At 50.1% G+C, this 12,033-nt stretch overlaps 1 annotated feature.

Moving 5' to 3' along the window:
• Window positions 10,210-10,823: an enhancer, noted in NCBI's record as "NANOG-H3K4me1 hESC enhancer chr4:8838985-8839598 (GRCh37/hg19 assembly coordinates)". NCBI's record gives its function as "activates a minimal SCP1, AML or CMV promoter by ChIP-STARR-seq in naive H9 embryonic stem cells {active_cell/tissue: H9 hESC(naive)}" and the evidence as "EXISTENCE:reporter gene assay evidence [ECO:0000049][PMID:30033119]".

A 12,033-nucleotide genomic window follows, 5' to 3' on the forward strand; every position in this document is an offset into this window, starting at 1 on the left:
GTCCTGGCTAATGCAGTAAGACAAGAAGAGGAAATAAAACATATACAGAGTGGGAAGGAAGCAATAAAACTGTCTTTGTTCACAGTTGACATCATTGTTCATGTAAAAAAAATCCAAAAGAATTTACAAAAAATACTCCTAGAACTAATAAGTAATTATAGCAAGATTGTGGGATACAAGGTTCTTATACAAAATTCAGTCACTTTCCTACACGGCAGCAGTGAACAAGTGGAATTCAAAATTTAAAACATGATAAACACAATACCATTCACATTAGCACCCCCTCAAAATGAAATGCTTAAATATACATTTAACAAGATATGTATAAGATCTATAAAAAGAAAACTACAAAACTCTCATCAAAAAAATCAAAGAAAAACTAAATAAATTAAGATATATTCCACATTCAGGGATAAAAAGACTTAATATTATCAAGATGCCCATTCTTCCTCACTTGATCTATAGACTCAATGCAATCCCAATCAAAATTCCAGCAAGCTATTTTATGAGTATCAACAAACTAATTCTAAAGTTTATATGAAGAGGCAGAAAACTCAGAATAGCCAACACAATATTGAAGAACAAAGTTAGAAGATCAACACTACTTGACTTCAAGACTTACCATAAAGAAAACTATAGTGTGGTATTGGCAAAAGACAAGACAAATAGATCAACATAACAAAATAAAGGGCCATGAAATAGACCCATATAGTCAATTGATTTTTGACAAAGAAGGATTGGCAATAGAATGGGGTAAAGATAGTCTTCTCAACAAACGGTACCAGAATGACTGAATACCCACATGCAAAAAGAAAAAGAAATGAACCTAGACACAGATCTTATACAGTTCACAAAAATGTAACTCAAAATGAATCATAGACCTAAATATAATATTCAAGACTATAAAACCCTAAAATATAACATAGGGGAAAATCTAAACAATCTTGAGTTTGTTAATGACTTTTTAGATACAATACCAAAGGCAGGATCCAGGAAAGAATCGATAAGCTGGGCTTCATTAAAATTAAAATATTTCTGCTCTATGAAGCCACTGTCAAGAGAAGGAAAAGGCAAGCCATAGACTGGGAGAAAATATTTACAAAAGACATACATGATAAAGGACTATTATCCAAAATGTACAAAGAACTCTAAAAAACTTAACAATAAGAAAACAAACCCAACTAAAAACTGGGCCAAAGATCTTAACAGATATATTACCAAAGAAGATACACAGATGGCAAATAAGCATAAAAAGATTAACCACATCATACGTCATTAAGAAATTGCAAATTAAAACAACAATGAGACACCATTATACACCTAGTAGAATGACCCAAATCCAGATTACTGACATAATCAAATGCTGACAAGGATGTGGAGAAACAGGAACTGCCATTCTTGGGTTGTGGGAATGCCAAATGGTATGCCTGCTTTGGAAGACAGCTTGGTGGTTTCTTACAACACTAAGCATACTCTTACCAAAAGATCGAGCAGTTGTTCTCTTTGTTATTTATTTACCCAAGGGAGTTGAAAACTTATATCCATACGAAAACCTACTTATAAACATTTAGAGCAGCATTACTCATAATTGCCAAAAACTGGGAAAAAAAAAAAAAACAACAAGATATCCTTCAGTAACTGATTGGATAAATACATTGTAGAACTCCTAGGCAACGAAATGTTATTCAGCACTAAAGAGATATGAGCTATCAAGCCATGAACAGACATGGAAGAAACTTAAATGTGCATTACTAAGTGAAAGAAGCCCAACTGAAAAAAAAAGTACATATTATATGACTCCAACCATGTGGCATTCTGAAAAAGGCAAAACTATGGAGAGGAAAAAAAATCAGTGGCTTCCAGGGATTCGGGGAGAGAGAAAGATGAGCAGGTGAAGTGCAGGGGAGCTTAAGGTGGTGACACTATGCTGTATGACAGTAAAATGGAGATACCTGTCCTTGTACCTTCATGTAAACCCATAGAACCCACAACACCCATAGCGAACTCTCCTGCGAACTCTGCACTTTGAGTGCTAATGGTGTGCCTGTGGAGACTCACCAGTTGTGAGGAGTGTCCCACCCTGGTAGGGATGTTGGTACAGAGGAGGGCTATGCATGTGTCAGAACAGGGGGGAAATGGGAAATCCCTGAACATATCTTCTGCTCAATTGTACTGTGAACCTAAAACTGTTCTTAAAAATAAAGCCTACGAATTTAAAATTACAGTCATTAGGAAAGTATGTGAGTGGGTCATGAAGAGACAGAAAGACAAAGGGAGCCAACCAGGAAACACGGAAACAACATGTAGGAGTGTGGGAATTCCACTTTCGATGGAAACAGCAACACAAATCGGCACCAAGAGGACAGATCAGCCCTTCGTGGCGCTGGGACAGTGGGTTTTCCACAAGGAAAAAGAGAAAGTTAAATCCCTACCTCCCTGTACAGAAAAATCAATTCCAGATGGATTAAAGACATAAATGTGAAAAGAACTACAAAACTTTTAGGAAAAAATATAGAATAATATTTTTATGACCCCAGAGTAGGAAGGAATTTCTAAACACAATGCCAAAAAATGCACACTGTGAAGGGAAATATTGGTCCCGAGACTTCATGAAGATCTATGCCATCTCTTTAGGCCTCGGCTTGCAGTGGCCACACTGTGACTAATGCCATGTTCTATTGACCAAAGCAAGTCATGGGTCTCTGAGGCACAGGGCTGGGCACCAACACCACCCTGAAGACTTATCTGGCTAAACTGCAGCTACAGAGAAGGGTGGAGGACTTGGGCCACTTTTGCCACCAATCTTCCATGCCCCAGCCTGGTAATCAGGGAAGACCATAGAGAGGAGCCCTATTTGAGCAAGGTGATGGAGAAAGTACAGAAGTCTGGGGGGAAATTAGGAAAAAAGAATAACTCAGTGAGGTGTGACCCAAGGAGGGGAGTCTGGGCGTCCCCACTGAAGCAGAAAGAGATTCATCACAACTCCTTCCAAAGTGACTGATGTTGAAAACCATTTAAAATGCATGTGTGTGGTCCAGGAGGGCCAGTAAGTGTCTGCCTGTCTCCCTCCCACTCTGGTCCCCGAGAACCTGGCACGTGGGGCACAGGGAGGAGTTTGAGAAGGGGACAGAGAGCCGGTGCCAGCTGGCACCCAGGCTGGCCAGAAGAACACCAGTGGGCATGGGAGGGAAACCCAAGCTTGGTAGCCATGGTCAAGAGGAGCCCGCAGGGAGCCACCTGTCTCCTTTGACCAGTTGGTCTGCAGAGATGAGCTTCCTAGAATTAAACACAAGTGGGGATTTATCTCCGGAGCTTTGAGGATGGAGCATTCATTAATCATTCCCTGCAGTGGCTCTGCTGGGCACCGGCGCACATCTGGCCCAGATTCAGATCTGACTTTCCTGCAGAGCCCTCCCTGGACTCAGGGGAGATGTGGGAGGTATGCAGGGGTGTCAGGGGCACTCTGGGGTGCAAAGTCTTTGGTCCCAAATGTCCAAAGGTCTTTTTGGAGTCAGCCAAGGAGCTGATATGCTGCAGAGGGCCAGGCTGGCCCCAGAGCAGCAGGCATTCTCATCTTCAAAGACTCTGCCAGGGTCTTGGAGGTTAATCTGGGGGGACTGCAGTGTTTTTGATGATGACGTTTTCTTGTCCCTGCAGCTTCCACACCAAATCTGTCTGAACCCCCAGACCAGGGACTAGGAAGTCAGCCTCGATGCCCGCCGAGGTTCCCCTACCCCCATCCAACGTCCCACCAGGCACCAAGCCCTCCAGAACTACCTTTCCCGTCTGTCCGCTCCCCCAGGTCTACTGCCACTGCCTGGCAGGACTAACACCCCAGCCTACCTGGATCCTCAAGGACCTCTTGGTGGTCACCTTTCCCAGACTCACCCCCCGGTTCTCCCTCTCCCGCTGACGGAGAGCTTACCAACAGGGCATGATCAGCTCCTTCCCTGCAAACAAAATCCCACAGGTTCACCATTGCCCCTGGACAAAGTTTTCTTCTGAACCAGAAAGTCAAGGCCCTTGTAGACTCCTGACCACATCCTCTGCCACAGGGGGGCCTGAGGCTGAGCCCCCGAGGTCCCTGAGGGCCACACCAGCTACTCCTTCCTGTTCCTCTGTTTTCACTGCCCCCAGGGCCCTGTGCATCTAGCAATTTTCGCTTTAAACTTTATGAATCTCTGAAGTGACACCACCTCCAGGAAGCCTTCCTAGAGGCACCAAGCACAGTTGACATCCTGCCTTTGTGCTGTAACTGGCAACAAGACAACCTCTGATTGAGGATGAACAGCTCCCCTGAGCCATGTGCTCTCTGACAGCAGGACGGTGTCCAATCCGTTTCCATGGCCCCAGGTGGGGATGGACTAAAGGCTTATTCTAAGAGGACCCAGCGAAAGCTGGTGAAACAGAGATCAACCCAGAGCCTGGTTTAGCTCTGACAACCTCCACACAGGCCCAGTGGCCTTGGCCACTGAACAGAGAAGGCCAGGCATGGTGACTGCTCTCTCTGGAGCCCACAGAGATTTGCAGCTCAGGAAGCCGCTCCGGCCTCTGGCCTGACAGATCTGGACCGAGGCTGCTGAGGGCTGGATGGAGCTCAGCTCCCAGGGTGTAGAGGGTGGACAAACTGGCAGGGCCTTGGTGTCCCCTGGGCAAATTTCCTCACATCACAGGAGAGGAGGCACCAAGCTACACCGCAGGGGCATCCCTTGCTGGGCCCAGAACTTTCCTCTGCCTCCAGAGTAAATTCAGAGTCACCTGGGAAAGGGACCCCACCTGCCACCTTAAAATCACCCCCTTTTCCTGTCTCTGCCTGCCCCTCCCCATGAGCTTGAGCCCCTGAGAACTGAGGCTTAGGGTAGAACAGCGACCAACCCCATCACAAGCCTGATGGGCTCACCGGAGCGGGGGCTGGGGGCCGGGAGGATGAGGATCTGGGGCAAGAGAAAGGGTGCAGGAAGGGAAAACGGGGAAGCAAAGACCCACGGGCCTGGGTTGGAGGGAGGCTGTCACAGAGAAGGAGGGACTCCCCCCAGCTCTGCCCAACCCTCCTGCACCCAGGCCTGCATCCAGTGGGAGTGGCCTTTTTAGAGGTCCTTTCCTCCTCCTGTCACCCCTGCATGGCAGGTGGGGACACACCACCCACCCATCTGGCAGGCCAGGCACAGGCCAGGTGAGGCTTACACACCCCAGGGTCCCAGAGCAGAACAGGAGACCCCATCTACCCTGTCTCTGCCCCTCAGTTTCAGCGTCTGTGGAATGGAACTCCGGCTGCCCGTCTTGCAGAGAGTTTGAAGGATGATGCCGCCGCACTGCCTTGGGTGTTTGGAGGCCAGGACTCTCCCACACAGTAACCCTGACCATGACGCCACGAATGCCCTGCCCCTGGCCCCCTGCTAATTGAATTTTTCCAGAGGCCTTGTAGTGTTCTTTGAGCACTGCCCACTAAGCCACAGGTGAGGAGCTGTGATGTTTCAGCCACACATTCCTGGCACCCCCTAGCCGGGGCATGAGCATGCTCCTTACGGCTCAGTCTTGTCTGGGGCTCCATTAAACCAAGCTTACAATTAAGGAAATGTGATAGGAAAATTAGCTGATGTGTGAAACCGGAGCCTCGGTACAGTTACAAAAGACAGTGTCTTCCAAGCCCTGATTAGCCACTCAGCCTGACGTGAGGTTAAGTAAAGAACGCCAGATTAATCCAGATGGACAATTATGACGCGTTCTTCTCCGGCGTCGAGCCTGTTGCTAAATTTCTCATGTGGCTCCCTGCCAGGAAGGTATTGTGTTCTGAGACTTTTCTACCATTTCTGCTTAAAAAGTTCCAAATGTTCAGCCATATGATGTGAAACTTAACTTCAAGAAAATCCTAGGGGGGGTGTTGATGGTGGGGAAGATGTGGGGGTCTGATCCGCTGACCCCACGCCAGGGGAGGATACAGTTTCAAGCCTTTCTTCTGGCCCCACTCCTCTCGCCTAGCCCTAAGGAGCCCTAAGCGAGCCGGGTCCTCCAGGAAGACGGGAGCGCCCCTGGTGAAGGCAGAATCCACCAAGGCCTCTGTCCTGCAAACCCCTTCCCAGTGTATGGGTTTTCAAGGGCCGTGCAACAAAGTCTGGAAGCCCGGGGACCTGGGTTCCAAGCCCCGCCTCTGTCAGCCTCGGTGTCCTGGGTTTCCACAGCTCAAATTAAATTCCATCAATAATCCTGCAGGTTACTCTTCTAGAAGCACAGTTACCTCATTTAAACCTCACAAAAACCCCAGGTGGGAAAGCTCTTACCTCCACCTTACAGATGGGTACACTGAGGCCCAGAGGGCTTAATGACTTGATGAGACAAGCGAGTGGTGGAGGCCAAATTCCAGCCCATGTGATGTGAATCTCACGGTTTGATTGACCAGGTGTCTGCAAGTGTCAGCTTGGTGTGAGGGGCTGCCCCAGACCCCTCTAGCTGGGACGGGTGACTTTCTGTAATGAGCGTGTTGGCTCCTTCATCTGAGTTCTATACAGGGGAGGAGAGAAGGGGAATGGCCTCAATGCCTTGGTCCTTGAGGCTCTGCCTCTCGTAGCCCCTCTAGGATGGTGCAGTCACCTCTGCACCTCAAGTCCCAGGCCCAGCACCAGGCATGGAGAAGCTCAAGGCACAGCCGTCAAGCTGTCTAAAATTAATCACATGGGGCCATGGCAAGTGAGCTATAAATATGTGCATAGTGCATTGTTGGGTTTTATTTATTTATTTATTTATTTTGAGACGGAGTCTGGCTCTGTCGCCCAGGCTGGAGTGCAGTGGCGCAATCTCAGCTCACTGCAAGCTCCGCCTCCCGGGTTCACGCCATTCTCCTGACTCAGCCTCCGGAGTAGCTGGGACTACAGGCGCCCGCCACTACGTCGGGCTAATTTTTTTTTGTATTTTTTTTAGTAGAGACGGGGTTCCACCGTGTTAGCCAGGGTGGTCTTGATCTCCGGACCTCGTGATCCACCCGCCTCGGCCTCCCAAAGTGCTGGGATTACAGGCGTGAGCCACCGCGCCCGGCCGCATTGTTGGGTTTTAAAACCCAAGCAGGGCCCAGCAGTAGGATATCCACTCTGTAGATGATACAGGAATTAGATAAAGACCCAGGAAACTCAGATCGTGAGGCCTCATCAACTACTGCATGCCTAACTTACCAATCGTATCGATAGGGATCAATTACTGTGCCTAACACAAAGCCCAGCCCAGAGGAGGCAAGTGAATGAATGAATGAATGAATGAAGCCCTCCGGAGCCCACAGCCAGGAGTCTGCAGGGGCTGAGGCTGCCTTGTTCACCTTGGGGTCCGCCGTGGCTGGGTGAACAGCCTGGAGCAGGTGCAGAGTGGCTCTGATTTCCTTTGCAATCTGTCCCTGTGGTTTCCTTTTGTGCACTGCACAGGAGGCAGCCTTTGTAATATCAACCAGGCAATAGACGGGGTGACGGGACATGACCATACCATGAGGCCCCCCAGCAGGGACTCCCAGCCCAAGGGTCCCGAGCTCCCAGGACAAGCCAGAGAAGCAGAAGCAGCCCCGGGCAGCGTGTGGTCTTCACTATGTCTCCTGAAGCATCCCATCCCCAGGCACAGTTGCCAACCTACCTCCCCAGGAAAGGGGCACGTCACCTCACCACAGAGGAACACCAGAGCCTCAGGGAGCTTTCAGGATGACATAAAGGAGGAAGTAGGACTTGAACTCCCAGCCCCGGGCCCAGAAGCTCAGATGGGCCGAGGTGTGCAGGTGGCCCCTGGCTGGGCATGAATGCAGTTCCTTTTCCTCAGAGACTCCTCCCACAGGCTTCTGCCCAGGGCACTTCCCAAAGCATGAGCTGCCGGCTAGACACTCACAGGCCCCCCAAGCTTTTCCCCACCCCCATCAGGGCAGTCTCCCCTCTGCTTTTCATACCAGTCTGAGGCCCCGGGGACTCTGTGGACTAGCGGCTCCTTTTCCATCAAGGCTCCAGGCCACCACTCAGCAGATCATTCAGGCTGCAGCCAGGCTCTCCCCTTCAACGTCGCTCTCACTAATTCAGACCAGGCCCGAGCTGCTGAACTCTACCTAGGGTGCCTCAAGGAGCCACAGATGCAATGCATCAAATGAGGAGCACGTTTCCAGCGCTCAGCCCCTCATAGACACGTGGAATTCTAGACTCTCTGGGGTGGGAAAGATCTTAAAAGGCATCCTATCCAGCCACCCCCATCCACCACCACTGCTGCCATCCAGGGCCAGGAGGTCCCCACATGACCAGGAAAAGTGAACACAACATCCAGCCTCTTACACACCTCCAGGGACGGAGAGCTCACTACTTCACTGAATGGCCTGCTCTTTCTACCATCGGCTACATCCTTCCTGAAATGCATGTGAAACAGGTGCTTCCCCTTGGAGTCCCCAGCGCTGACCTCAGGACTGTGCAGGGCACTTGAGCCCCTCTTCCCAGAGACAGTGTTCTCAGGGTCTGATCCCCTCTCTTTCAGGTGTCACAGCCCAGTCTCTGCCGTGACCTCACACTGTGTCCTGGGACCACCTCAGGCACTATCTAATTACCCTTAATTTCTGAGCAACTTCAAGGTACCCAGAAGAGTCGGTGAACTGCCCCTCAGTGGGGACAATAGCCCCATGCACTTCTGAACCTGACCCAACTGCATCCACAGCTGTGGTGCGGCTCTTCGTACTGGCCCTTCTGGGACTAGATGCCACACCCTTGGGGGGCTCACTGAAGCCTCATAATGAACCTAATAGGCAAGCGCTGTTATTCCCATCATACAGGTGAGGAAAGGCTCAGAAAAGTCAAGTGATTCACCCAAGGCCACACAGCCGTCTGTGATAGACCCAGGTCTGCCAACTCCTCTGAACCAAAGCCTGAATGGGCTGCTGCTGCCATGCTCAGGAGACAGGCCATCCCCAGTGCAGCAGCTGCTGTGACCCCAACTGCCCACAGGCTGGAGCTGCACCCTTCAGCCTGGGGCCTGTGTGGCCTGGGTAGGCCCTTCTCTGCCGTGTGCAGGGCAGGCAGCCAGATGTGCCCAGGGAATGAATGGCCCGTCCACCCGGAAGCAGGTGGGAGCCGGATAAACACCCCAGCTCCCACACCACTGGGGGTAACTCTCGGGCCCCTGTTCTACACGGCATCCAACATCTTCCCAACAGGATGAAGCTCCAGGTGCTCGCTGTGGAAGCCCCTCTGACTCTAAGCCACTCACTACTTCCTTTCCCCATTCCCCACCTGTGTTTCCTGGGATCATCTGCCAAATAAGTCCTCGTCTCCGTGTCTTCTTCTGGGGACCCAAACTAAGACACCAAACACCTGAGATGTGAATACTAAGGGTCCCCTAGATCGCCCCGGACTTCCTATTCTAAAAGCCTGAGATCTGAATAATCTTCAGGGGTCCCCTAGATCACCCCGGACTTCCTATTCTAACTGCCTGAGATGCGAATACTCAGGGGTCCCCTGAAGATCACCCCAGACTTCCTATTCTAAACGCCTGTGGGGTGTTTTTGTTTGCTCGTTTCTGTTTGCGTTTGGACTTTGATACTCAGAAAACACTTTGGGGTCTTACTCGACTTCTGGAAATGCAAATAAATGTACCAAAACCAGTTTGGGATTGGATGTGACAACATGGCTAATGGGAAGGCTGCGTTGGAGGCAGCGAATTCCAGGGCGCTCCTCAAGGTGACATTAAAGTAATAATGAGGTAACAGCCGCGGCACAGTCCGGCCTGGACATTCGTGTCTGTGACTCATCTTGTCCTGCAAAAATCAAGTCCAGGATGTGCCTGGTTCTGGGTTTGAGCTCTTCCACTCCCTGGGACTAGACCCAGAATGGGGCAGTGCCCTGCTTCTAGAAGCTCTAGGACCCAGCGCTGGGAAACGGGCGGTGGGATTGTGAGCACTGCAGGGTGGGAAGGGGGTCTAGTCCAAGGCCACGCAGCCTCCCCAAGCCTCTGTTTCCCTGTAGGGTTCCCGGAGGGCTATGACGCAAAGCCCCCGCAGCACTTGGCACCTGGTGTGTGCTCGGCAGACAGTGGTGACCGTCAGGAGCTGGGCAGAGAAGCAGACCAGGACCTGGAGCCAGACGAGGAGGCCTTCAGAGATGAGCCGGAAAAGCCCAGGAAGCAGTCGTGGATTGCACAAATGAGGCTGGACTGGAAGATGCTGGAGCCCAAGTGAAGCTCTGGCTCTCGTCTGTTAGAATGTGGCCTCCGCTCCTGCTATGGGGTCATGCAGTGGAGGTCTGGGATGGATCAGGAAAAGCTGCTTCACACACATCTGCTCGGCCATTGCCCTCGTGCCACAGACAGAGCTAACGAGCCAGATGCCACAGCTCCTGATACCGACCATTCACCGACTCCGCGGCCAGAAGCACCTACTATGTGCCTACTACGCACCAGGCACCGTGCCCACACAGGCCCAGCCAGCGCCCTGCCCTGTCCTCTCAGCCGACACTTCCCCGGGCGCATCTGCCAGAAAGGATTAAGAAGTTGCCTTAGGAAGGCCTGGCTTTGTTTGGGAAATTTCCCCCAGCTGAGAAGGAGAGGCCAGACAAGGAAAGAATGACCAATTATACGCTGTGTTGTCTTCAGATGAAAGGGCCTTTTTGTGGCCCTCCTCCATCTCCTGTTTGGGCTGTCAACAGCAATTTGACGAGGAATGTTGCTCGGCCTGACCTGTTTTTTCAAGATGGTAACCTATATTGTGTATCATCTCAGCCCTGGAGATCACCAGCCGGCACCCTCCTCAGCACAGTCCCCCCAGTTGAACTTCACCTTTAAAACCAGGAAAATTGATTGGAAAAAAATTCAGGGAAATCTCCCACTAATGATATTTTGAGTTCAGGAACAAGGGGGGGAATTAAAGTGGCTTTAATCTGATTCTCAACATGGATTTCAGTGGTGAATGGTCAATTGTTACTAAATTCTAATTGGTTCTGGGTCACTCCCTTTGAAATAGTGGCTGTGTTCTGTTCATTTTTTCAATTAAATCTTAACAATTCACATCTGACAAAACTCAAAAATCTTGTCAAAAATTGTTCAGATTTGTATAGTAAGAATGTGCAAGAAGCAACATGGAGCTTGGACTGGGGGAAACTTTCATACGGAGGAACAGTTTAAGAGCTAATTATGAGAATGCCGATTTTATTGTTTACTGACTCACTTCCTTAGACTACAGAGAACAAACCTTTTTCATCAACTTGCAAAAACTATTTTAGAGGAAATCGAAAGGACCACAAATGCCTTTGCCTAAGCAATGATTGTTCTCTGGATTGAGAAATTCAAACCCTTTTCACGTCTCATCTCTCATTGTGAGAAAGTTTTATTTTATTCTTCAAGTAAAACAGGAGACAGCTTGATGGAGAAAAAACAAGGGCTTTGCAGCTAGCCAACTCGAGTTCAAGGCTGGCCCCTGCCGCCGAAAAGCTGGGCAGTAACTTCCCTGCCGAGACACTGTCAGAGCCTCAGTTTTCTCACCTGTGAAATGGGGGTGATGTTTTCTAGATTTCTGGTCATGAATCAATGCTGTTTGATACCTGAGGCACTCCATAAACAGAAGGTGGCACTCAGATTATAGAATTGCTACGGCTTGGTCCCAGGCTTTGTTTTATCTCTGAAGACACTCCAGAGCAGAGAGGGCCATGACTGTCCCAGCATCACACAGCCAATCAGTTCTGGAGCCAGAAAGAGAAGCCAATCCTTTTTCTCAAAGCTGCTTCCGGAAGGTTTCTGGGTGACATTTCAGAATCTGGGTGACATTTCAGAATCTGGGTGACATTTCAGAATGTGTGCATGGCTGTCTAGAGCTCACGCCTGGCTTCTCAGAGTGTGGTCGCTGGGCCAGCTGCCTGATATCACCTGGGAGCTTGTTAGAATGCAGTTTCAGGCCCTAGCACAGGTTCCGAATCGGCGTTATCACGGGCCCAGCAGGATCCCGGGCACTGGAGGGTTGGAGGCATGCTGACTTGTGGCATTTCATCAGGCTCTGAGGACCTGAACACTAGAGCCGCTGCCATGTCCACGATGGCCCTGTATGCC

This window comes from Homo sapiens, chromosome 4 (assembly GCF_000001405.40).
Source record: "Homo sapiens chromosome 4, GRCh38.p14 Primary Assembly".
NCBI lineage: Eukaryota > Metazoa > Chordata > Mammalia > Primates > Hominidae > Homo > Homo sapiens.